Genomic DNA, 27,786 nt, shown 5'->3' on the forward strand with positions numbered 1-27,786 from the left:
AAAAAAAGACTACATTAACTGGGGCCACAGATACAAAAAATGTTTCTTTAATTAAAAGGAGTTCATTTATAAATCTATGCTAAAATTTTAGAAATTTGAGTTGAATAGATTGTGAGGAAAATATGTAATTACCAAAACTGACTCAAAAAGTAGAAAATTTGAACTGACCACTAAAAAGGGACCAGGCCAGAAGCTTCTTAGCAATTTCTTTCAAGCCTTCACAAAATTGTTGGTTATCCTGATACTTCAACTAGCAGAACACAAAAAAGATGAGATGCTTTAAAATTTATTTTATAAAGCTGACATAATATTGATATCAAAATCTAAAAAAGAAAACAAAGCCCCAAATACTTCATAATGGAGCAGATCTAGCAGTTTATACAGAGAATAATACCACATAGCCAAGAAGAGTTTATTTCAAGAATTTAAAGGTGGCTTTAACATAATTGAGTCAATCAATGTCCTCAAAACATTTGAGGGAAAAAACCCACACATTATTGCCTCCTGCTTTAAAAAACTAACAAAACAAAAAATGCCAACTCTTTTAGTAAATTATGATGAGAAACATATTTTAACATCATAAAGAATATATGTGTATATATAATATATAACCAAAAAGTCAGCTTCGTACTTAAGTGTTAAATGCGCAAACATTACCCGTAAAGCCATGAAAAATACAAGGATATCTACTGCCTTTTAAGAAACCATGCTCTTAAAGTCCTGGTCTATGCTATAAGTAAGAAGAGATTCAAATATTAATAATTTAATATTTAATAAAAGATTAAAATAAGATATTTAATAAGAGATTAAAATATTAAAAGGAAGGAGGCAAAGTTATTATTATTCAAGCTTAAATGATCATCTACCTAGAAAACCTAAGAGGATCAACTGAAGGACTATTAGAATTAACAAAACTCGTTAAGATATAAATATGAAAAAAAAGCTTTTATATACCAGCAATAACCAATTAGAATAGATAGCAGGGGGAAATGTCTCCCACATTAGAACACAGGTCCACGAGAACTGGAACTCTGCCTCATTCTTGGCTGAATCCCTAGCATCTAGAAGTGGTCCCAGCACAGAACAGGTGCTTGGTAATTATTTGCAGAATAAATGAGTGAACACATTCACAATAAGGGCAAAAATACCAAATAATGGAACCAAACTGATATTCCATAAACAGATTCCAATACTTAAGAATTTAGCATATGAAAATAAACCAGGCACAGAAAGATAAACTTCACATGTTCTCACTTATTCATGGCAGCTGAAAATGAAAACAATTGAACTCATGGAGACAGAGTCGAATGATGGTTACCAGAGGCTAGAAAGGGTAGTGGGTGGTGTGGGAGTGGAGGTGGTTAAAGCGTACAAAAAATAGTTAGAAAGAATAAGATCTAGTATTTGATAGCAGAACAGAGGACTATAGTCAATAATAATTTAATTTTATATTTTAAAATAGCTAAAAGAGTATAATTGGATTGTTTGTATCACAAGGGATAAATGCTTGAGGTCACAGATGCTCCATTTACCTTGATGTGTTTATTACACATTGCATGCCTATATATAAAAATATCTCAGGTACCCTATAAATATATATACCTACTATGTACCCACAAGAATTAAAAATTGTAAAAATGTTGGAAGGAGACCAAGGAGATGAAGGACACGAAGGAGACGAAGGAGATGAAGAAGACAAAGAAGACGAAGATGAAGACGAAGAAAAAGAAGAAGAAGAAGAAGAGGAAGAAGAAGAAAGCATATTGTGTCTCATTTTAAACTGCTAGTAGGGCAGAACTGAGATTTGAATCCAGAGTCTGTGAGAGTCCAAGTCTTGTGCGCTTAGTTCCTATGCCACAGTATGCCCCAGATCTTATAATTTTACAAAGAACCGGTTTTAGTTGTTTTAAAAAAACAGAATTTGTCATATGATGAAAATGGAATTTCAAACCACAGGGGGAAGGGTAGATTATTCCATAAATAGCATTTTAGACTACTAACTGGTTAACTGTTTCAAAAAATGAAAATGAGTTACATCTCACAACATACCCTAGAAAAATTATAGATAAAATATTTCAACATAATATATGAGATCACTAAAGAATTACAAGAAAAAAAGTAAGAAAATATTGGCATATCTTGGAATAAGAAAAGGTTTTCCTAAATATATAAGTAAAGGTAGAACACTAATGGGGAAAGATGCATAGTTTCTGCTACATAAAAATAAAAACCTTAGGTATGTCAAAATACCATAAACAAAACAGTAAAAGATAAAAAATAAATGGGGGAAAATACTTGCAATGTATGACAGAAAAAGGATTACTATTCTTCTCATATAAAGTGTTATTATAAAACTCCAAGAAAAGGATGATCAATCAATAAGAAAAAAATTTTTAAAGGTTAAGATGCAAGTAGCAAAATGACAAATGTCCAACAAATTTACTGACTCTAACAAATACTACATATGAAAACTGGGCTGAGATCATTTTTCTCCAATCAACTTGGCAAATGTTAAATCTAACTTACAGTGTTATGGAAGATCAAGAAAGTGAGAGAAAAGGCCAATTTCTAGAAATTTATTCTAAATATTACAGGATGTGCCAAACATTTCTGTACAAGAATGCCTGTTGTATTACTTCTTTGACTTTAGGCACTATAGATTTAATATATGCTTCTTATAAAAAATTAACCAATTCAGAGCAAGACACTGGAACCTGCCCTTTTAAATTTAGTGTATTGCAAAAACCCTTCATTACTTTTTTTTATTTTTAATGTCAACTTTTATTTTTAGATTCAGGGGTACATGTGCAGGTTTGTTACATGGGTATATCGTGTAATTCTGTGATTTGGGGTACAATTCATTGTTACCCAGATAGTAAGAATGGTGCCCAATAGACAGTTTTTCAACACTTGCTCCCTCTCTCCATCCCAATGAAAAACCTTATTATTATTATTTTTGTTTTGAGACAGGGCCAGGCTGGAGTGCAGTGGCTCAATCATGACTCACTGCAACCTCGACCTCCCAGGCTCCAGTGATCCACCAGCCTCAGCCTCCCAAGTAGCTGGGACTACAGGCATGCACTACCACACCCCGCTAATTTTTCTTTTTTCTTTTTTTTTTGAAGAGATTGTGGGGAGTATCTCACTGGGAGCTGCAGACAAAGCTGTTCCTATCTGGCCATCTTTGATCCAGCCATGGTGGGAGTCTCACTATGTTGCCCAGGCTGGTCTTGAACTCCTGGGCTCAAGTGATCTGCCTGCCTCAACCTCCCAAAGGGCTGGGATTACAGGTGTGAGCCACCTTGCTTGGCCAGAAAACCTTTTAATAGCTAAATCTTTTAAATAGCTACACAGTAAATCATTGTACTGACATAGAAAAATAAAGGATTTAAGAAATCTCCTTAAATAATTATAGCAGTGTGGTACTAGCAACTTGTTCTTACAAACAATTCAATAGTCACCATCTTCTACATTTTTCTTTGCACATTTCAACATGTATTTATGTAGGATATATCAAAAAGTGAAATTGATGACTCAGAAGTTATGCCCACTTAAAATTTGTAGCTATTGCCACGCTGACTTTTAAAAAAATGTTGTATCGGTTAATATTCCCACAACAATGTGTGGATTATTCATAATAGTGACAAATAGGAAAAATCTATATGGTCAAAGTGCTTCAAAAGTCGTTACAATAAATGTAGTCAAGGGAGTATTTCCCAGCCACTAGAAATGCTATAGATGAATGTTTAATGACCCAAAAAATGTTTGTTGGCTGGGCACGGTGGCTCATGCCTGTAATCCAGCACTTTGGGAGGCCGAGGCGGGCAGATTGCCTGAGGTCAGGAGTTCAAGACCAGCCTGGCCAACAAGAAGAAATCCTGTCTCTACTAAAAACACAAAAATTAGCTGGAAATCACTTAAACCTGGGAGGCAGAGGTTGCAGTGAGCCTAGATCGTGCCACTGCACTCCAGCCTGGGCAACAGAGCGAGCCTCCATCTCAAGAAAAAAAAAAAAAAACATGAAAAACAAACAAAAACTATTATGAAAGATTAAGTTACAAAAACAAGTACATTAAACAGTGTGAACCCACTGGAATTCATATATGCTTTTAAAGAATAGATACTTACACTATCTATATAATAGTATAAAAATAGAATAAGTATAGATAGTATACTATCTATACTTATACTACTATATTATATATATAGATAGTATACTATATATGCTATATATGTAATATAGTATACTATCTATACAATATATACTATCTATATATATACTATCTATAGATATATATAGAGATATATATATCTATATATAGAGAGATATATATATCTATAGATAGATAGTATACTATAAAGAATAGATCCATCAGGTTCTAAAACAAAATGTGAATCAGTTATCTTTCCATGGTGGAATTATAGGTCATGAAAACACTCTCTTACACTTGTCTTAATTTTCCAAGTGTTCTAGAGAAAAAATATGATTTGCAATTGTGAAGACATTAAATTATAATCTATTTTTTAAAACAATAAAATGCTATCCTGAAGACTACCAGCATTAGTGATGCAAGACTTTATATGCAACCACCCTTGATTGCCATAATAAAGAATTTTTCAGGATTAACATGAACACCACCAAGTGTTTGCCAACTGAGTACCTCAGAGTATCCTGCACTGGGTCCCCACGAGGTCATCAAATACTTATTGGTCCCTGCTGAGGCTCGGCCTGTGCTCAGAGGTGCCAAACACAGAGGTGAGGAGGAAGAAGCCCTCAAACTGATAGAGGAGAGAGGTTAAGCACCAATCAACATTAATCCAAACCAGAACACAGTGGGGCCAGGGCTCTGCTACCGGGGTTCCCAGCTGGAAAAGTTAACACATTCCAAGATGAAAACAGGTGAAGCAATGGCAGCCTGGTTGTTACCTAAAGGGGTTCCGTCTTGAGGAAACCCTAAGCAGCAGCAAATACTTCAAGGGTACAAATGCGAAGGTGAAGAAAACGGAAAGCCTTTCACAGTAAGGGAACAACAACAACAAAAATTAAAGCCAAACGTGCTAGGCATAGAACTCACTTGATTAGGGGAGCAGCTCCATGTGAAACAAATTTGCTTCCTCTGACTTAGAGCACTAGCAAAATACATTAAATTCCATCTCAATAAACTTCCAACTTTTTCTAAGCCCAGGTAGCAACTATTTATTTCTTAAGTCATACTCAGTACAACAAACGTGTAATCCTTAACAGAATTTACCATTTTACCCAGTTTTTACCTAGATTTTTAGTGTTATTCTAAAGGGAATGTGCCTTGAAGAGCTCCTAAGAGATGGTTTTGGTAGTGTAGATTTCTGGCTTTCTTGAGCCTATGAAAGATTTTTATACTTGACATTTCCTAGGGGGAAGAAAAGGCTAAACAAAACCAAAAGCCACCATAAAAGTCTCCCAATCTTCCTCTATCTAAGTGCAGTCTTAAACATATTAGCCCTTTAGCAAAGAGCTATGTTCATATTTTTAATTAGGTGATTAAAAATATTTGAAACGGCAGCAAGACAACGGTCAGCTTTTGGTAATCCAAAGGAAAAGGTGACATGATTAGCACTGGCAAGCTTAAGTTTAATAACATGGGATCGTTACATTTTCCATGGATAACGAACAAGAACACTTAAAATGAAGACGTCTCAGCAAGAGGGCTAACTCTGTCCTGGTCGGCATGACAGGCCTTAAAGTGCCTTTAATAGTAGCTTGTAAATTCACGGTGGCATTTACAAGCGTCTGAACGTACTTTAGGTAACATGCAATTGGTTAAGCCAAAAGTTTCCCTAACAGCAACTGACTGAAAAGCAGTGGTTCTCCAAGGGTCCCTTCTGCCCTTTCCCCATCAGCAACATACGCCACACCTGGGAACTTGTCAGCCAGGCAAACCTCCCACCTACTGAATCACAACCGCAGTGGAGGAGGCCTGGCCATCCATTTTAACCAGCCCTCCAGATCATTCCAATGTAAGGCCTGCTGTAGAGGATACTACAGAGGTTTTGAGTGTGACACCAAGCACAAGATGCCTAATTCAGTGTGTACAAGCCATTTTCATTTCCATTAACCAAACCTCCTCTTCCCGTTGCCCATCCCTTTTAGAGGGCAGTGCAAAGAGTAGGACCTTGTTCAAGACACACTTTGAAAAGGTCCTTAGGCCTAATGGAAAAGTCATCTATTTTTCATATGTTGCCACAGTAACAGTAACAAGAAGCATCACTTATTCCTATAAGAAAAGTCCCCTTTGCAGGGGACATTGAGTATTTATAGAAAGATCACTTTATCCTGAGGAACCCAAAATCTGGAAAAGCAAATATGGAAAACTCAGCCTCTAAGGCTTCCATATACAGCTTTACAGCCCATGTTCTAAGTGAACACTCCCTAATTATGGCTGCCCAATACGGAAAACATGTGTCCTAGGAAAACCTCCACTGTCTACTCTGAAAGACATCACGTCCAGGTAATAGAGAAAAGAAACGTCTTCTTTCAGTTCCCGTACTGGTCCCTCAGTCCTGACTTAAACAGGGAAGGTGATCTATTTCGCCTCTGCCCATCCTTAATGCTACTTCATTTCCTATGACATCATTCTTTAGGTCCACATTCGGTCCTTACTTACGGGAGTTGCCATAAAAATAATAAAGCTTATCTCTGGATTATAAAATCCATTTTTGTATCATAAGATCAGTTGCATTTTGTGTGCAGTCCTTATTTTTTTTTATAAATAGCTTCCATATTTACCATCTCATTTGAGTCTTACAACAGCCTGTGAGGTGGGCACAGTTTTATTATTCCCACTTTACAGATGACAAAACTGGAACTTAGTGCTAACTTCCATAAACAACTGATCGTTGAATACTAAAGGAGATACAAAAAATTTGCATAAAAAATTAAATAATTAAATAATTAAAATTAAAAAAGATTAAATTAAAAAGAATTAAAGAATTCATGATGTCTAAAAGAACCTCCAGGGCCGGGCACGGTGGCTCACGCCTGTAATCCCAGCCCTTTGGGAGGCTGAGGTGGGTGGATCACGCGGTCAGGAGATGCAGACCATCCTGGCTAACACGGTGAAACCCCGTCTCTACTAAAAATATATTTAAAAAATTAGCCGGGCGTGGTGGCGGGCGCCTGTAGTCCCAGCTAATCGGGAGGCTGAGGCAGAATGGCGTGAACCCGGGAGGCGGAGCTTGCAGTGAGCCGAGATCGCGCCACTGCACTCCAGCCTGGGAGACAGAGCGAGACTCCGTCTCAAAAAACAAAAAACCAAAAAAACAAAAGAAAACAAAACAAAAAAACCCTCCAGATTTGCTTGAATTTGTCATTGGCCAAATCATATTCACCAGAAATTACCTAGGTAGGTTTTTAGGTTGGGTGATATTTTTCGAAGGAATGGTAAAGAGCATGGAGATGAGATAAACGAAAACCTACAAACTCTCCCAGTTATACAACTCACATAACCTGCAATGATGTCTGGAATTCTATGGGGCCCAAAGTAACAACAACAATGATGATGATGATAAGATTAAGATCTTACTACATACCAGGCACCCTTCTGCATACATTAAATATATTCAACAACCCTATTAATATCCCCATTTTGCAGGTGAGAAAAACAAGGCATAGAAAAGCTAAGTAACTTGCCCAAGATCACACATCTTGCTCCGTGAACACAGAGGAGGAAATGTAACTGGAAATGCCAAGCCCCCGTGCGGTCTGCCTGCCAGTGATGGAAACCTGACATGGGAGGGCAGCCACCACAGGAACCTGGGTTATGTTTCCAGTGTTGCCATTTGGGCAACAGTCTTCACATTCTCTTACTGAAAACATTAATCAATGCTCAGGTTCCAAGTAATCAAACATTAACCGAGACTCCTAACAGCCAGTTCCTTCTCAGACTAGCCCCACGGAGGTTTCCTAGATCTCGGGTAGCGATGGAACACTGGTTGATTCTCCTGGAACTGCCTTCAACTATTTAAGAAAAATCAGAGGGGAAAGCAGCTTTGAAGGAAATGTGCAAAGTAAAGCTATATGTGGGAGGCAGCAGTTCTAGTAAACGCACAGAACTCACAGCTGTGATTTTTCTTTTAAAGACATATAAATAAAAAGGAGTCCTCACTGGTGTAAATTACTCCTGCCTTTTTTTTTTCTCCACTTTTTTCAACTGCTCACATTTTGGAACTGTGTGAGCAAGTTTTTACATATTGATCAATCTTTTAAAGTTTATACATCATTTTCTTAAAGAAGGAAACAAAGATCAAGCTGAAAAGAACATTCAGGCAAAAGAGAAAAATTACATGATGAATGAATGCAGTCTTTGTGGGCGAGAATTCTGGGATGGGAGTGTGGGGTGTAGGGACAGCTTTCAAACACTTACTCAAATGTGCTTATCTTCATCATTTCCTGCCTCTAATTTTTACCGAATAACCACCTTGAGATCCCAGGAATTCAATAGGAAACTCAATTTAACAACAAGTTCCAGGGTATTCCACATAATCTCTCTTTAAGGCAAAGTCCCAAAAGAGAGATGGGACTATAATGACCACAAGTTAGGTGACTTTTCATATTCACATTCCTTCCACGTTCTTCGACAATCCTGGTCCAGTTACTTACTGTGGACCCTGTGTGCTTTACTTTCCTCTGCTATATAATGAGAATAATATTAACACCTTCTTTATCCGGTTGGTGTGAAAACTGCATGAATAAATGTAAAGCACTTGGACTGTGTCTGACACAGAGTAAAATGCTCGAATAGCATCAGCTGTTATTACTACTACTACTTACTACTATTATTTGCAAAAACATTACAAGGGATAATTATATCCAGGAAGCTTCCCTTGTATTGGTAATGTTTTATTGCTTTTTCTAAAATTTAAATCAGAGCAACAGTCAATACATGCACACAAAAAAGGCAATTCTTCAAAAATGTGGGGGAAAAGCCTCCCATACCCATGTTACCTGCTGGTGAGTTTCAGGTAAGGGTGTAGCTGGGAGCATCCGGTTCCAAGACTGCCTTGTATTTCTCTTACAGGATGCCTCCCCTTCTGCTGCGGTTTTTAATCAGCGTTTCTAGGGCAGGCTTGCAGGCGGGGCCGCGAACCCCCTGTAGTTGTACACGGAGCTGGGTGAGGCTGCGGCTCTGGGCATTTCTGGGGAGGAGTTCCATGGCTTTCCACAGACTCTAACCACCCTGCAGCGAGCCGCATGCTATACGGGTTAAACTCGGGGCATATCGAACGAACAATTCACTTCACGGAAGACTAGCAATAACCAGGACACCTGCGCTATTGATCAGCTATCTCAACACCAGAGAGACCCACCAGCACAAGGGGCAAGAATTGGCCAGGAGGCGCGCGGCGCTGCGCCCTCACCGCGTCCAGACAGACCCTTGAACTTCACCGCCAAAAAACGCACCGCTCCGCAGACCCGACCCGGGAGAGGGGTTTAACTTCCCCTCACCTTTCCCATCCCTCCTTCATTTCCAAGGACATACTCAAAGGAAACTGGCAACACTCGGTCTAGGGTTTCGCTCCTGCCCTCGGCGGACACCGAAACCACTTCTCCCAGGGAAGTTAATTAAAGGAACCATTAATCCGCCCAAAAATCCAAAACCTACCCCCAAAGCTCAAGAGCTCTGAAAAGAGATCGAGGGCGCCTCTGCCGATCTTGAACATCTCTGCTCGTCGCTGGGGCTTAGAGGTGGGCAGGGGGTGCCAAAGGGGCGCAGGCAAGACCCGGCCAGAGGGTTAGACGCCGGCCCCCGTTCCGAGGCGGCCCAGTCTACACGCCAGCGACGCCGGCTGAGCCGGGCTTGGAGGCAGCCAGGTAAGCAGGTAGGTGTAGGCATGTGTCTGAGCAGACACACAGCTGCGGCGGATTAAAGTTCAAGCCCGTTCACACTCCGCTTCCCCTTCCCAGGTGTTCTCACGCACGGCCCAGGCAGCCACTTTCCCGGGGAAGCCTCGGCGCTCGACCGGACAGTCCCCTCTTTGTCATTCTTAATGACTCCCCTTGCCTCCCAGGCGCCAACCCATTGAGACTACTCGCTTCTCTCCACTCTCCCAGGCGGGCGCAGAAACCCCCGGAAAGGGGAACTCGGCGGGGACCGGGGGAAGCAGGGTGTCGCGCGGCGCAGGGGGCGCCGCAGCCGGCGTACGTACCCAGAGCGAACAGGGCGAGCTGTCCAGCCGAGGGGACCATTTTACGGGCGGGCGGGCAGCAGGCTCTCCAGCCTCCTGCCCTACCTGCGGTGCCCGAGTGGCGGAGCGGCGCCGCGGTGCGGGGGAAAAAGACGCAGACTAGGCAGGGCCTGCCCCCGGCGCGGGAGGGCGGAGGGAGGACCGAGCGCCTCTCTGCTGGCACTCGCCCCGCAGCGCTGCCCGCCGGGCGGAAATAGGAAGGCGGCTACCGTCACCTCCTCGCCACTCGGCGACCGGGGCACAGCTGACCCCCCCCTCCCGCCCCGATGGGGGTGCCCCCCTGAGGGCACAGAGGGTGGGGGTTTGGGGTAAGGGGCGGGGACGCTGAGCGCACCGAGCAGGGCGCGGGCTGCTGGGCGGGGCGACCTGGGATCCCAGAGCCTGGCGGCGCGAGCCGGGCACCCGGGCCGACGAAAAGGCAGGAAGCGCCTGACTTCAGACACCACCCCCGACTGCCAGCGCCGTGCGGCAGCGGACTCCAGCGTGCGGGGTCGGCGCCGGCCGCGTAGCCGGATTGTCCTGGGCCGCAGTGGCGGCTTCCAGGCTCTAGGCGGCGGAGCGGAGCCGCCCGGGCACCCGTTACCTACACCGAGGGGCCGCTCCTGGGGCATCTCTGGGGCGGGGAAGGCTGGAGGCTGGGGACGCAGCCAGGAAAGGGACCTGTGAGTTTCGCCGGCCGCTTGCCAAGACTTGGCTCAAGGAAAGTGGTCCCCTGAATCAATGAAGAATTTGTTAAACCAGGTTTCCCACCTGTGCCACAGTTCCCATCAATTCTGGCAACGCCTGCCGCCTTACCTCCCAGGCAGGCCACATCGTTAAGATCAGTCTTCGTACTTCTGGCCTGGGACTGATAAAAAATGGGTCTCTGTGACGAATCTGGTTATATGGCACCACCAGCTGAGGCCAAAAGCCTGCTAGCCTGCCACCAAGTGTACCCCGAAAGAGGGGTGTGTGGGCCCGAGTCACCTGGGTGGTCCTTTCAGGATTTGTGGCTCTGAGGTGGCCCCTGGTGCTGGAATTTGGGGAGGTGGAGGGGATAGAGGGAAGACATTCTGGGCGAAGAGTGGAAGATCCATAGGTTCCTCGGTGACCCTCATGGGGACAGTACACCCGGGAGATTCATGTTCTCCAGGTACCCGGAGCTCACGGACTGACCCTCTTCTCCTGCCTCCTCTGGCCTACGTGCTCCGGGTAGATCCACTTTCCTTGAAGGTGGGGGTGGGGGCTGTTGGGCCTGGGGAATCTTTTGCTGTTTACTTGGGGAGGCTCAGGCTCTCACGGTTGACCTCTGCCCAGTTTGTTTCATGTAAGTAGAGCAACCTAGTTTCAAGAAGGAAGCACCAGGCCATTGGTCTCAACATTTGGGCAGGAAGCACCAGTGTAAATCATTCCTTTCAATAGATTTGTCGGAGCATACTTTGTTCTTTTAGGGTAAATCTTTTCCTTGGTCCACCCCATGCATGTACAAGGCACACATGCACTTCCTTTAGTAGGTTGTCCCTGACTCCCACTTCCTTCAGGTTGATCTTGACCTGCTCTGGTGGTTTCCCTGTCTCCTCCCTAAACTAGTCTGCTTTGGCTACAGAAGGGGAGGAATCAGGGGTTCCCCCACCCTTCTCCTGTTCCCCAGGACTAGAGAAGGACCTGACTCCTTGCTTCCTACTGGAACACGCAAATCAAGCTCACTGTGGCTGAGGGATGGCTGCCCAGCCGGCTGAGGGTCATGTTCAGCAGTTTCTGCTTATCTGTCCCCTACCCCCAAAGTCAGAGGTGGAGGGAAGTAGCAGAATCAAGTCAATTTCCTTCATGATTGGAAAATATTTTAAATCAAGAGGTAACTTGCAGGCCAGGCATGGTGGCTCACACCTGTAATACCATCACTTTGGGAGGCTGAGGTGGGTGGATTGCTTGAGCTCAGGAGTTCGAGACCAGCCTGGGCAACATGGTAAAACCCCCCATTTCTACTAAACATACAAAAAATTAGCCAGACATGGTGGCGTGCGTCTGTAGTCCCAGCTACTTGGGAGGCTGAGGCACGAGAATCACTTGAACCTGGGAGGCAGAGGTTGCAGTGAGCCAAGATTGTGCCACTGCACTCCAGCCTGGATGACAGAACAAGACTCTGTCTCAAAAAAAAAAAAAAAAGAAAAAAAGAGATGGCCGGGCGCGGTGGCTCACGCCTGTAATCCCAGCACTTTGGGAGGCCGAGGCGGGCGGATCACGAGGTCAGGAGATCGAGACCATCCCGGCTAAAACGGTGAAACCCCGTCTCTACTAAAAATACAAAAAAAATTAGCCGGGCGTAGTGGCGGGCGCCTGTAGTCCCAGCTACTTGGGAGGCTGAGGCAGGAGAATGGCGTGAACCCGGGAGGCGGAGCTTGCAGTGAGCCGAGATCCCGCCACTGCACTCCAGCCTGGGCGACAGAGCGAGACTCCGTCTCAAAAAAAAAAAAAAAAAAAAAAAAAGAAAAAAAGAGATAACTTGCCATCTTACAAACTAAAGAGTATCCAAATCAAAGTACATTCTAATGCTTGAAAATCATTAATTCTCCCTCCAAGATTTTCAAAAGCTGGTCCATATCTGTGGTTTTATAACCCTCCAATTCATTCAAGTCAAACAGGTCATCAGGGGCTGGGTGTTTTTTTTTTTTTTTTTAACTTAAAGATCATTTTTTTGGTAAACTGAATTGAAATGATTTTTAAACGTTTAGTCATAGAGGAAACCTAATATCCTAAATTGTTGATGCTCTATCTTTTGTATTTTATATATCTCATTTAATCCTCACAATAATCTTATGAGATAGATCCCATCCCCTTTTATAAGAGAAGAATCAAGACTGAGTGAATTTAGTAACTTACCCAGAATTACACAGCCAATAAAGGGCAGAGCTTGATTTTGAAAGCAGAACAAGCTGGTTCTGAGGCTTATGTGCTGGCTTCTCTGCTATACTGCCTCGGTTTCCACATTTTCAATAAGGATAATGCTTAACTCATTGGGTTGATGTGAGTACTAAATGCAAGAATTTATTTGCATACTTAGCATAATATTTGACATCAACAAAACTACCTATTATTTAAAGGAAAACTCCCTCAGTGGACACACCTTTCCCTTGTCTTAGTTCCTTACCACTATCTTTATGTTATCATTTTCATATCAGCTTCTTTGCTTGAGCATATGCATGTACATGCACGTGCATACCTCTTCCTATGGGAAATATTTTCATAGGTGAATCAGGAGGTATGAAGTTGTTTCTCAGCTGTGGTGTGAAAGAAATAAGAAAAAAATTGACAGAACGCGATTTAGAGCAAAGCAATCATTTTTCCTAAAGGGTGGTGTGACATTTTGTATTGGAACACCTCACTCTCTGAGCCGAGTGAAATTCCAACTGTAGCCCCTTGAAGCTGTGTGGAGACTCAGGTATGCGCCTTCACCTACAGACACTGCATCTGTCTCGCGTGGCCACTGCAGCTCCTGTTTCTCTGCACGTGGAGCCTGATGATTATGTGGCCTTCCCACTAAGAGTCTGCCTGGACTGCCTTTGCACACACTTGCTGCAGCTGGCCTTGAGCTCAGTATAATCTCTTCTGTGAGAAGCCAATCACAGCCTCTCCTCCCTGTGCAAACAAGAGAACTATGTTATGCTCTACTGAGAGCCGGTAAACCGCCCTGTCAGTTTTCCCTTTCCTTTCTCCTACATGCTTATTATAGAGGGTATGTTTAAAGAGCCCTCTTCTTCACTGTGATCAGCCTCCCCTTCCTTCCTGATTCATTTGTGGAAGTGATTGTGGAGCTATGAGCACCAGAGCCTTCCCTGAATAATTCAGGCCAGCTGAGCTTGCTGTTTTAGATCAGCAGTTACCCAAGATACTGGGGATTGAACAGCCCAGACATTCTTTGGGAGGAAGCACAGCCATGGGCCCAGCATTGAAGGAATTACAATTCCCACAGTCAAGCCCCAGGGAGCAGTAACTGGGCTGGTTCAGGTGGCTGCAGGACCTTCCTGGGTGACAGCAGCAGACAGCCAGGCTCAGAGGGAAAACAGGATGGGGCACCTGGTGCAGAGGGAGGGCAAAGGAGAGATGTCATCTGTGTATGAGAAAGAAAGAGGGAAGTTTTATTAAGGACTCTGGAGAACTGTGTTTAGGGAGAGTGAGGAGATTTTAATGTGTTAAGGGATTTAGAAAAAGAAATCTATTGTCTAAATATCAGCTCCCTCTGGGGCCTTAGCTATTAGTGTGTTCCTTATCTCTTGCCAAAGGAAAAAGTAGGAAACCTTATGCTGGGCTCATTTTTACAGTTTTCATCACCAGCATAATGGGCGAGGTAAGAAGAGATAAGAGGCATTTGCTTTGTTCTCAGCTACCTGCGTGATTTTCGTTGCCAGTGTTGTCCAAAGATTGGTCTGACCTTCTGCTTAACATCTGCCATCCCCCAGCTCTCAGGCCTACGTTTGGAATGCACATTGAAGTTGAAATTGAAGCTCAAATCTTTCCTTTCCAGAGGAGATTTCACAGAATGGCTCTAAAGCCCAGTATTGAAGTGTGGAGGTTGGTGTTCCACTAGTGGTCCAAGCAGCTCCATGTCCTAGTCAAGGTGCTAGGTCAGAGTCTCTGGGACTCAGGGCCACCAGGTGGCTACCACGTGAAAGACATTATATAGTTTGTGAACTTCCTAGACGACAGGATGCAGTAGCAGTACCCACAGGATTGAGCGCAGCTGCTGTGAAGCCATTCCATTAAGCGTGCTTGGAGGCAGGATAGCTTTGCATTCAATTCTGTCCTCCTATCTTTGCTACTTTCCTCAGCAGTCTCAACCACACAGCCATACCCTTCTGGAGACTGGAAAGATTGCCCCAGCAGGAGTGCCCCTGGGAAAGTCCTAAATCAAGCACCCAGAAATACTCAGGCAAGTACACTTAATGATGTTGATGGAAATAGGGTAGTGATGATTAACAGAAGCAAAAGAGAGATAGGAGAAAGAAAATATGAAGAATCAAGGAAGGAGAAATCAAAGAACTATAGAGAGCTGAAAAGGTGGCTTGGTAATTTATTTTTCAGTATGGGTCAGTGTGCCTGATAAACTCAAGAGATTCTCCCCAAGCTCAGAGGAAAAGGGAAAATAAATTGAGAGAGCTAAGGTATGAGACAAAGCCAAAGCCAGAATATCCAAAATACTGATGGAGTGCTCAGAAAGAAAGCAGAGAGCTGATAGAAGAGAAACTTCTTATATCCCCCAACAGGAGGAACTAGTGATGGGAAGAGGGTGTTATGCCTCCCACAAGTCTATAAGGTGGAGAGGATCTTGTTTAAAGAGACTATGAAAGGTGCAAGGATAAACTTGCATTCTGTGACAGACATCCAAACCCTCACCTTGAACTTCTCATACCACCCCCACCCCCTGCTTCCAAACTCCATTGAAGAACCAAAGGAAAATAATGGTAGGGGAAACTCTATGTCATTGTTCAAAACTGAAAGAAGGATTCCACCCACATGCCAGACGTTTTAAGGAATTTCTGTAAGACTTAATGCAGATGAGACCAGTTTGACAGAAGGATTTGACAACCTTCAATTCACCTCAGAGAAAAGCCTCTCCAGGGAAGGACCCCCGCCCCCAACCCCAGACTCAGTAATGCTCCCAAATTGGTCATGACAAGAGCTGCAGGCAAAAATAAACCACAGAGGCCGGGCATGGTGACTTATGCCTGTAATCCCAGCACTTTGGGAGGCCAAGGTGGGTGGATCACCTGAGGTCAGAGTTCGAGACCAGCCTGGTCAACATAGCGAAACCCTTTCTCTGCTAAAAATTCAAAAAAATTAGCTGAGTGTGGTTGTGGGCAACTGTAATCCTAGCTCCTCGGGAGGCTGAGGCAGGAGAATCTCTTGAACCCGGGAGGCAGAGGTTGCAGTAGGCCGAACTCGCGCCACTGCACTCCAGCCTGGGCGGCAGAGCATGACTCTGTCTCAAATAAACAAACAAACAAACAAACAAACAAACAAACAAACCACAGAAAACTCATGTGGGGCAAGTCTCCATCCTCTTGAAACATTTAGGAAGTGCCCAGGTACTGGGGTGCATACAGAGCAGGGATCCCACTGAGGGGATCCTAATTTGGTGCCTGGTACAGAGACAACATTGCTGGGGGGCAGTGGCGAAGGCAGCCACACAAGCTCCTTGCTGGCTTTATGTGTTTACAACAGTGGGGAAAAGAAACTCTTCAATATGAAGGCGAAACTCTGCTCTCTTGGGGGCCCCCACAGAGCACCACTGGCTCTTAATAGTTTTCTTTCATCTCTTTATTCCACATGTGTCCATTGCAAGCCTGTTGTGTTCCAGGCACTGGGTTAGGCACTTGTCGACAATGGAGAAGTGAAGTGTTTTCTGCTTTGTGGAGCTACTCAGGCAAAAGAATCAGGTTACCTCCAAAGTTAAAAAAAATCATAACTGACATTGACATTTGACATAATTGCCAAAGTAAACAAAGCAATACCCATGGAATTTTGAAGGGAAATGATTGTGACACAAAATTCTGTTTCTTACCAACATATTTCAGATAATCTATTTAAAAGTAAACCATTTATGTACCACTCCAAATGAAAACGAAAGAATCCACAGAAAATATTCCAGCCAAGCAAATAAACTCAATAAAGTGAAAGAAATGTCAGTGAATGACAGCAATAAAATTTAATGTTGAACCTAACTCCTGATTTTTAATATGTTGTACTGCTCACTGTTGGTTGTCAATAGGATGGAGATTTTACTTTCCTTCCTGCTAACAGAATCCCAATTTTGTTTGGTTGACAGCATGCCTCTGCCCACAGGAGGAGGCACGACAATCCCTTGGCCTTTGCTGATGATTGGCCTCGGGCCAGGCACATGACTAAATCTGGCCAATGAAATGTCAGGGGGAGTCTCCTGTTAGGCTTTTTGGGAAGGAATTTGCTTCTTGATAAAGTCAAGCAAGGTAGCTTGACTTTCTGCCTCAAAGTTGGTTGTCAAAAGATGAAATATCTGGAGTTGTGGCATCCATCTTGTGACTCTGAGGAGGAGGCCAACAGAATCTGAGACATGCCCACCTTGATATTGAAGAGCTAGCTGCTGAGCCAGCCCTGGACCTGTTTCTTTCACCCATGTTTCTATGTGGGATAATTACATGTCCATAATGTCTGAGATATGGAAGAGCGTTCTAAAACAGTATACATGGATTAGGAGTTGGGACTAAATAATAATAAAGTAAATCTAAAGGCCCATATTATTGTCTTAGAAATTGGGAGGACGGGGTGGCGTAGGAGAAGGGAAAGTAAAAATGTGCTTGTATTTGCTTGTTTTTCCTTCCTTCCTTCCTTCCTTCCTTCCTTCCTTCCTTCCTTCCTTCCTTCCTTCCTTTCTTCCAAGTCTTGCCCTCTCACCCAGGCTGGAGTGCAATGGTGCAATCTTGGTTCACCTCCACCTCCTGGATTCAAGCAATTCTCCCACCTCAGCCTCCTAAGTAGCTGGGATTACAGGCATATGCCACGAGACCTGGCTTATTTTTGTATTTTTAGTAGAGATGGCGTTTCACTATGTTGGCCAGGGTGGTCTCAAACTCCTGACCACAGGTGATCTGCCTGCCTCGGCCTCCCAAACTGCTGGGATTACAGGTGTGAGCCACGGTACCAGGCTCATCTTTTGTTGAAGAGAATTAATAGCTACCGTGAAATCTTTCCTCTGACAGAGAAATTTAAAATTTATTTAAAAATTTAAAGGTAACTAGTAATAGAATAAAAATAGAATTTATCCACATTTCTAAAAGAACAAAGAGAGTGAGCAAGAGATGTTGTGTGTAACATTAATGTAGCAAGAAGAAAGAACAAGGAAAATCCCAAGATAGAAAAGCCAGGAAGCATATAAAATATGATCAGATGGTAGAAGTAAACACAAATATATCTGTGTTCTCGTTAATCATGAGTAGGTTTAACTGCTCCTTTAAAATACAAAATCTGACGAGAGGCTTATAAGAAACACACCCAATAGTGATTTATATCACTATTAAGCAAAAACCATTGCTCAGTAAATGCAAACCAAACAAAACCTGGGGAGGTGATACAATGAGGAGAAAACTAAAATTCACAACAAAAAGGAAATTAATATATACACAGGATCATTTTAGTCAAAACTGTTAGAAATATAAGAAAACCTACAAGGACAAATTTATAATTCCTTTGTATTGGTAGATTGTAACATGAATGGCCCCCAGTGAAGCAAACTTCCCATTACCCCCTCCTTGTGTAGTCCCCTCCCACATGGACTGTGGGTTTGGCCATGAGACTTACTTTGGTTGATGGAATGTGAGTAAAGAGAATGATGCATGCAGAGACTCCATAAACTCCTGTGCATTAGGGCTTGTGCTCTTGGAATGTTTCTGCATCATGAACAGCTGCCAATCTAGTCTACTAGAGGCTAATGAGGGGCTGCATGGAGCACAGCCCCCATTACTGAACCCAGCCCCCCACCCCACCTACCAGTTGAATTTGGCTGTAAGAGTGAACCCAGTCAACCCATAGAATTGTGATAAATAATAAAATGCCATTGTTTTAAGTCACTAAATTTTAGTGGGGCTTGTTGTGCAGCAGTAAGTAATGACCACACTTTGTCAAACCCGAGCATCTCTTTCTGTCTGTGGCTCCTCAAAAGGAAAAATTAAGTAAAGTTATGATTAATTTGAATAATTTGTCCGATATAATTAATACATACAAATCAACATTTTCTACTCTGTAAATATATATTCCTTTCAAGTATCTTTAGAAGATTTTAAAGAAATGATCATATGCCAACCCTCAGAATCTTAAGTAATTCTAAGAAAACACTTTTGCCGGGCACGGTGGCTCACGTCTGTAATCCCAGCACTTTGGGAAGCCGAGGCGGGCAGATCACTTGAGGTCAGGAGTTCGAGACCAGCTGGCTAACATAGTGAAACCCCGTCTCTACTAAAAATACAAAAATTAGCCAGATGTGGTGGCACATGCCTGTAATCTCACCTACTCGGGAGGCTGAGGCAGGAGAATCACCTGAACCCAGGAGGCGGAGGTTGCAGTGAACCGGGATTGCGCCACTGCACTCCACCCTCCATCTCAAAAAAAAAAAAAAGAAAACACTTTTTAGGTTATAGCCATTGACTATAATACAATTAAACTAGAACTTAATAACAAAAGGACAACTTAAACATCTAATCACTTGGAAATAAATTTTTTAATCCATATTACTCTTGGATCAAAGAGAAAATGTATGCTACAAAATGGTTATGAAAGCAAAATCAAAACATTTGGGATTCAGCTAAAGTTATATGCAAAGAAAAATTTGTAGACACAAATTTTCTTTTATTATCAAGAAACTAAACTCACTAAATTAACAATTTGACTGAAATGAGAAGGAAAAAGCAATAAAGTAAAACTATGGAAGGCAAAAATATGGGTTTACAATTAAAGCATACCTTAATGAATTTAAAGATTGGAAAGAAATGCAAGAGCATTTTGAAAATAATGAAACCATAACAAGACTAATCATGAACAGTAGTGAGAAAATTGAAAATGCACAACGTTGGGAATGAGAAGTGGCATAGAAAAGGTGTTTTAATTATAAGAAAATATGTAATTGAATGTTAATGAATTTTAAAATTTTATTAAAATTAATAAATTTTCCAGGAAAATATAATTGCTAAATTGACTCAAGAACTAGAAAACTTGAAAAGACTAATAATCAAAGAAGAAAGGGATATGTTGTTAAATAATTACTTTATAAAAAAGGCCTGTTCCATAGAGTTATACCGTGGATTTCTTTTCACTCAAGAAATTTAATGTTCTTGCTGTTTAAAATATTCCAGAACATTAAAAAAGAATGAAAAAGGTCCCAATTCAGCTTTTGAAGCTAAAGTAACCCCGATACCCCAAACTAACTAAATTAGCAAAAACAAAAAGCAAAAAAAGAAAACAGAAGATCGATCGGACCTAAGAGTATAGATGAAAAAAGGTAAATAAAATGCTAGCAAATCAAAACTAAAATGTTATTAAAAATAATACACTGTGACCAAGTAGAGTTTGTTCTAGTAATTCAGGTAATGTTTCATTAATATAAATAATTACATCTTAAAATCAAAGATAAAACTTATAATTATCTACAGTGGCTGGAAAATTTCTTTGTTAACTAGAAACAGGGTATTTCATTTATGTAAAGAATACCTCTGTTAAATCAGCATTGATAAAATCCTTCATATTAAGACATTTGAAGTATTCTTATTAATGGGACCAAACAAGGATGCCAATTTAACCACAATTATATAACATTTTCCATACAGTTTGATTTGTGTGAAGAATCTTAGAATCTTAAGGTTTTTTGATACTGAGTACATTTATCCATTCTTTCCCCACTTCAAACAAGGTATTGTTTGAAATAATACTTTTATCATATGGCAAATTCTTTAACATTCTTGGTTCCACGCCCCCCCCCCGGACTTATATTCTGTATTAATTATTTCTCTATCTCTGTCCCCTCCCACAACTTCACACTGTTTTGCATTAGTTTAACTTCATAATGTGTTCTTACGACTATTTTAAATCACACATACACACATACACACACTCCCCCAAACTTCCCTACAGAAAAGTTTTACCAATTAACATTCCTACCAGCTGTGTGGTAGGCTGTTTCCAACATTGGGCCTTTTTCCCCAAGCCAAGTTAATATAAATTATTGATTTTTTGGGTCACCTACAGCTTGGAGAATCTGGTGAAAACTACGAACTGTTTTGCCTACTACTCCCATATATATTTATATTTATATCCACATCTCTATATACCAAATTGCACATATTATTATAGGTGTTTATAGACTCTCTGGAGTTTATGATGGATCCCAGGTTAACAACATCTGCAGTAAATATTCATCTATACTTATTCTTGCACATTTATATTTTACATTTTTAGCTCTTTAATTCAATGGAAATGTATTTTGATGACTATTTACAATATATTCCTAAAAATGTACAGTATGATCCAATTTTTGTCCCTCCCCATAAATATATTATATACATGCATAGAGAAACAGAAAGCTGCAGATATAGCAAAATGTTTCAATACTGTGGGTGGTAAAATTGAGTGATTCTTTGTCTATTCTCTGTTTCTTTATTTAAATTTTCCACAATAAATCTATTTCGCTTTTGTAATAAGAAACAGATTAATTTCTTTCAGAAGGAAAAGCAGTGAGAATGGTTTGGTTGGTTACAGAGCTACAGGAATGAGAGGTGGGAGAGTTTCTCTTCCTTTGTGGGTAGAGATGATTAGGGGGTCGTGGAGAGTGAAGTTTGAACATCAACTGTTTGCACTGGTGCACCAGGGCAGGCAGGAATCAGAGGCTGTCTGGGCCAATCTCACTGCCTGGACACAGGCGCCTCAGTGTGAACCGGGGCCTGTGATGGGCCGATACTGCTCGTTCCTGGAACAAGGGCCCTGTGTCTTCCACTGTCCAACACAAAGGACAGAGTTCCCCTGTTTACTTTGGATTAGAAATGTTCAAATGAAGGACAGCAACAACATTTGAGTTTTTCCTCTTTTCAGTTTCTTACAAAAAAACAAATTGTAGTAAGTCAGAGATTTTTTTGGCATCTTCGGTGAATAAAATCAATCAGACTAGATCGCTGAAGGAGTCTTAAAGAGCTTCCCTTGTTTACTATGTTTTTTAGATTTATGGCTTAAAGCTTAAGAAGTAGCAGTGACTGACTAGGCCTCTGAATTGTCCATTCATTTCCCAAGAAATGAGGCATTCCCAATTCCTTGGTCAGTTGGGCGAAGTGACCTTTGACCTTTGGCAATAAGCTCATTCTAGGCTGGAAGTAATCACATAATTATGGAAACACTCCTTCCTTTTGTCCAACCTCCCACACACTTCGAAATACTCCTTTCCTTTCAGATGCTCATTCAAAACCCCCCTCAATTAGACCTGCTAAGACATAGAGTTTGTATCAGACATAGAAGTCTTTAAATCATCAAAGTCTAAGTGGTCCCATGTTGAAAGACTGTGCCTAACACTATAGGGAATAAGACCTTGAATACCATGGTGGTAAGGTGGAAACTGTGTGGCCTTTTGTGATGTCTGGGTTCAAATCTTAGCTCCAGCACTAATGGCTAAGGACAACTTTCTGAACGTTTCTGATCGTCAATTTCCTTACCTGTAAAATGGGGGATATGATAGTACCCAGCATATAAAGTCATTATGAAGATCAAATGAGATGATGTGTATGAAAGGGTGTAAGTCAGAGCCTGGCATATGAAAATCACTCAATGCATAGTGGCTGCCATCACTGCTGTGACTTGCAACTGTTGTCACCTCACGTGGAATAGGTGGTTACAGCATTCGCCCAGTCCAGGAAGATGGGGCTAACCTGGTGTGTGTATAGGACTAGAAAAGTAGTTTGCCAGGACAGTGATTTTCTGTCTGATACTGGCTTGTAGTTGGGTAACTACCATAATATCAGTAATTACCAAAGGAAGTGGATATAGAAATCCTGGGGAAGGGCTTTTGTACTCCATATCTCCCCTGCTCTTCCAGTACTGTGAGAGTGAGAATGCCCATCTGTGATGAGAGGTGCTCCGACAGGGATGTGATGTGCACATGAATGATACAGAAAGGGGAAAGGGAGCCTGCTAATTTTGATCCATTTTATCATCTTCTGCCCTGTCAGCTCTAACCATTACTAACATCATCAGGGGCAAGTATCTGAAGTGACATTTGCTTGTTGTATCCCAGGTCATAAGGGTTCCTCAGTGTGACGGTTAATCTTATATGTCAACTTGACAGGGCTAAGGTATGCCCAAATAGCTGTGTGTGTCTGTGAGGTTGTTTCCGGAGGAGATTAGCCTTTGAATTGGTAAACAGAGTAAAAATCTGCCCTCATCAATAAAAGTGGGTATCACCCTACCCAAGCAGGGCCTGAATAGAATTAAAAGGTGGAGGAAGGGCAAATTTCTTCTGATTGAGCTGAGACATCCACCTTCTCCTGGTCTTGGACATCAGCATTCCTGGTTCTTGGGTCCTCAGACATGAACGGGGGCTTACACCATTGGCCCTCACTTCTTGAATCTTTGAACTGAGACTGGGACTTACAACCTTGGCTCCCCTCGTTCTCAGCCCTTAAGGCTTGGACTGGAACTACATCACTGGCTTAGCTGGGATGGCAGATTTGGGACTTCTTAGCTTCAGTAATGGTGTGAGCCAAGCCCTCCTAATAAATCTCTTTCTCTGTATCTTCATAGCCCCTATTGTTCTTGTTTCTCTGGAGAACTTTGAGTCATATACTCAGTCTGCCCTTTTGGGGGTGCTATGCAGAGTTGAATCTCCAAAGGTCTGACACAAGGAGTGGAATCACGAGCACCATGGCAGGGCCTTCCCACTTCTTTTTATCTTGAGTTTCTACTGGCCACCAGCAGGAATGCAGAAAGGAAAAGTGTAGTAAATCCTCATTTAACATCATTGATGGGTTCTTGGAAATTGCAATGTATAACAAAACCAGTTTTACCATAGGCTAATTGACATAAACAAGAGTTAAGTTCTTACGGCATATTTCTGGTTACAAAAACATCACCAAACTTCTGAATAAAGACTAAAACACTTCTAGTATTAAACATTGAAATAAATGTGAGCTATACTGACATTTAAGAAAGATGAATAAAAACAAGTAAGATTATTATTTACCCACTTATTCCAGTTCAGCGGAAGGGGTGGCTGGAACCTACCCTGGCAGCTCAGAGCACCAGGCAGGAACCAGCCCTGGACAGGGCACCGGCCCACCGTAGGGCGCTCATACACACACCCGCACTCACTCACTGGGGCCCTGTAGACACAACAAGGAACCTGACATGCACATCTCTGGGATGTGGGAAGGAACTGGAGAGCCTGGAGAAAGCCCACACGGACACAGGGAGAATATGCAGACTCCACTCAGACAGTGGCTCCAGCCAGGAATTGATTTTTTTTTCTCATCAACATTACAACAAAACGATAGTGAACAAAACATTATTTGAGGACCCACTGTGAACCAACAGATTTTAAGATATAGCCAAGATCACACAAAGAAAATCCCCTAAACATATGTCATTTCTTTACACATCACGTTTTCCGAATTCCGATGAGAACAAGCGTTTATTCCCCCACAGGTAGATGAGCGATGTTGAGAGCAGAAGTGATTGCTCTGAGAAACTGTTGGAAAACCAAGAGTCTTAAAGTCAGTAATTTATTTGACGATTGATGCTTCAGGGGACAGGAGCCGTTTGTTGGGCTTCACGCTCACTTTAGAACCTTTCGTTGGCCAGGCGCGGTGGCTCACACCTGTCAGCACTTTGGGAGGCCGAGGCAGGTGGATCACGAGGTCAAAAGATCAAGAACATCCTGGCCAACATGGTGAAACCCCGTCTCTACTAAAAATACAAAAATTAGCTGGGTGTGGTGGTGGGCACCTGTAGTCCCAGCTACTCGGGAGGCTGAGGCAGGAGAATCCCTTGAATCCAGGAGGCACAGGTTGTAGTGAGCTGAGATGGTGCCACTGCACTCTAGTCTGGTGACAGAGCAAGAGTCCGTCTCAAGAAAAAAAAAAAGAAAAGAAAAAGAAAAAAAGAACCTTTTGTTGCTTCCTTTCCCTGGGCTGTATCGTCTCTCTCCTTGCCACCCCACTTGGCCTTGCTCTCCTATCACATTTTCCCTTCCCTCTTGTCCTCTCTCTCTTCCTATTTCTCACTTTCTCTCTCTGTTTACCAGCAATAGGAGAAAGTAAGCATCATAAGATTTTTTATTTAATGTTAACGTCATTGATTTTAAGAGATCTTTATGTTGTCGTTTTTTCTTGTTTTAATTAAAAACCTAAATCTAGTTGACCTTATTCAGATGTAATTCACTTAACTTTTTTCCCACTGTGTGTGCTTGTATTTTAAATTAACAACAATCCTTTGACTTCTGTGCTGATCTGAAAGGTGTTTTATCCTGCCATTTTATTTCTTACTGTTAGATAACTGGACCTCTAGTGTGTGTGTGTGTGTGTGTGTGTGTGTGTGTGTGTGTGTTTTCTTGCAAGCATTTTTATAAACTTGACAATGTATGTTTGCAAATATAGTAGTAAGTAACTCAGCATAATCCAGTTCTTGCCCATGACACAGCCTTCACCTATGCTCTGAAACTGCACCTCAGATCTGAGAAAAATGTGCCCGCCTGGTCCTTGACTTAGATATCACTAAAGATCTGGCCATCAGCCTCTTCCTGATGCCAGACACAAGTCAGGTGAGTAACCTGCTTCTCCAGTTGGGCAGGACTTTGGGATTCCCCTGGATGAGACTCCTGGGTAGGATAGATCCCCTGATATTACTGTTGGATCACACCGAATGAGATAACCAAATTTTCCTTCTCATGGTGCCACTTACAAAGGGCTTCTGAATAATTATCTGTTTGATCCTTACACCAACCCTAGGAGGTGAAGCTACTAATGTTATCCCCAATTTAAAGATGTGAAAACTGAGACTCACGGAAACTAGGTGACTTGTCTAGGGTCACACAGCCAGGAAACGTCAAGGTGAGAATTTGAACCCTGGCCTTCTGAACTTGAGATCCAGGGCCTGGCACAGAGTGGGCCCAGCAGACATTTCTTCTTCCCATCACACCTGCCATGAGCTAAAGAAAAGTCATCACTTCTGTCTTGTAGGACCGGCTCTTCAGGGAAGGACATCCCCACAACCAGGACCCCTGGCAAAGAGGAATTAAAGACCCAGTTGTGTTGTGATGTTCATTATTCAGATCTCGGAGCGCTCACGGATCTCTTGGATGTCCCCTGCCAGCTCAACTGATGAGACTGCTACTTTATGTACCACTGCTTGAAAAAGAAGGGAATCTCCTATTTCTCACACAGGATAACAGTTGAGAGTCATTGCCACAATAAAACAGACATGTTAGCGGTCAGGTTCATATAAGGACTAAGCGGCCCCATGAATCACATAGGACTGGCTAATCCTAGGACACTCCTCTCTGTGGTTTGCTAGGTAGCAGAGAGGGGAAGCTAAATAGTAGTTTCTAATAACAACTGGGAAGGCTTTTTCTTTTTAAATAAAAATGGAATTGGCATAATTGGGAATGAAGATAAAGCTTGGAACCAAGTTAGAGAAGGCAAAGTGTACGTAGAAGAGCTGTTACAAATATAAAACTTGGCTGCGTTCTTTGTGAAGGCTCAAACTTGGGAAGGTTAAATACCATAAATTTTTTCATTTGTTCTGTATTTTGATCCTGAAAAGAAAGCTGGCTTTGCCCATGTATTACTTTAAAAACTTGGGGGAAAGGAGAAGAAAGGGACAAGTTTTTAAAAACTGTTTGAAAACATTACAGCTGAAAGAAGCTACATAGGAGCTGGGTAGAGAACCTAGTGACTAAGAGAATGAGGAATGCCGAGTACGCATCCTGTGGGCGGGGCTCTACCCTTGCCGCTTTCAGGTACGGGAATCTTGACACCAAACATGTTCTCACATGCATGGTGGTGTGAATGATTTGAAGGAATTTGTAGTTAGTATAAGGAAGAACCTGGAACATGTTTAATGATTTACCCCAGGAGATCATAATAAACAATGTAAAATTTGGGAGACATCTCTGAGTTCCCTGGCTCTTGCAGAATTCAGCTGGGCAGTCAGAACCAGTACTGTGCCCTCGGGTATGTCTCTGGAAGTCCCAGGAAGATAAGAGATATCTAGACATGAGACTTGGTTGAGGCAACCCTACTCACCAGCTATGCTCCCAATCAAAATGCCCTCCTTCTAATTCTATTAGAATTATTCCCACACTTACTGCATTCTCATATTCTCAGAAGCACGCACACACACACACACAAACAACCTTCCATGCTTCCAAGTTTAAATGACTCCTGTTAACTCCTAGTTGCCTTTAAGGGCTCAGCCAAAACCTCACCTTTTCAGGGGCCCCCTTGATTCCTCAAACATGGTCAGGGCCACCCATGGACTCTGATACTGCCCTATAGACCTCTCAGTGGCACTCATAGCACTTCCTTTGTCCCCATCTCAGCGTGTTTTGTCTGATCCCACAATGCAGGTATGGATGCCCGTCCACCCCAATATACCTCTCACTGGATTCTCTTGGCCTTGCAGGCATCTTGGGGTGGTCAGTGGAAGGATCCCCAGAAGGATGTGGAGGCTGTGTGCCTCCTAGGTGGAAGTGGGAATCAAGCTGGGCATTGGAACCATGGGGATTGGGCTTAGAGAAGAAAGTCGCTGATTTTGTGAGCTCAACCACACAGCACCATCTTCCCAGCAGTGATAAGGCCTCTGATGGAGAGCTGCTAAGGTGCTGTGAAGTCCAGACACTAAGCCTGTGAACTTGGGTCCCTCAATGGGGGCTTGCCATAGTCAAGCATAGAAGGAGGGGCTCCTCCACAGAGGCCAGCCCCTGTGGGAGCCACCCAGTCTGAGGAATAGGGCTCTATCTCATTTTCCTGGATGACATCACCCAGGAATAGCAGGGATCAATGGATGAACATCAACAGCCTGGGCTTC

The 27,786-nt window shown here is 42.5% G+C and overlaps 1 protein-coding gene and 1 long non-coding RNA gene across 5 annotated transcripts in view, besides 2 other annotated features; one reads left to right on the forward strand and one right to left on the reverse strand.

Moving 5' to 3' along the window:
- The window catches only part of TGFA (transforming growth factor alpha), a 106,543-nt gene extending 96,259 nt beyond the window's left edge, over positions 1-10,284 (reverse strand). For 2 of the 4 annotated variants that reach the window (NM_001099691.3, NM_003236.4), the window contains exon 1: positions 10,186-10,284. In NM_001099691.3, the coding sequence (NP_001093161.1) occupies positions 10,186-10,225 (40 nt within the window). In that variant the 5' untranslated portion in view covers positions 10,226-10,284. Of the gene's footprint in view, positions 1-9,641; positions 9,905-10,185 lie in introns of those variants that run through there. The other 2 variants (NM_001308159.2, NM_001308158.2) reach the window with 1 other exon arrangement.
- On the forward strand, positions 9,166-26,864 carry LOC124907824 (uncharacterized). Its single transcript, XR_007086906.1, has 2 exons — positions 9,166-9,850; positions 25,938-26,864. It is a non-coding gene; the product is annotated as an uncharacterized LOC124907824 (long non-coding RNA).
- Positions 10,345-10,414: a silencer, noted in NCBI's record as "silent region_11613". NCBI's record gives its function as "represses an Ori minimal core promoter by ATAC-STARR-seq in GM12878 lymphoblastoid cells {active_cell/tissue: GM12878}" and the evidence as "EXISTENCE:reporter gene assay evidence [ECO:0000049][PMID:35858748]".
- Positions 25,409-26,608: an enhancer, noted in NCBI's record as "MED14-independent group 3 enhancer chr2:70796083-70797282 (GRCh37/hg19 assembly coordinates)". NCBI's record gives its function as "activates an origin of replication core promoter dependent on BRD2, BRD4, P300/CBP and CDK7 cofactors, and independent of MED14, by STARR-seq in HCT116 cells {active_cell/tissue: HCT116}" and the evidence as "EXISTENCE:reporter gene assay evidence [ECO:0000049][PMID:35650434]".
- Positions 26,865-27,786: the final 922 nt, after the last annotated feature.

Source organism: Homo sapiens, chromosome 2 (genome assembly GCF_000001405.40).
Source record: "Homo sapiens chromosome 2, GRCh38.p14 Primary Assembly".
Taxonomy (NCBI): Eukaryota; Metazoa; Chordata; class Mammalia; order Primates; family Hominidae; genus Homo; species Homo sapiens.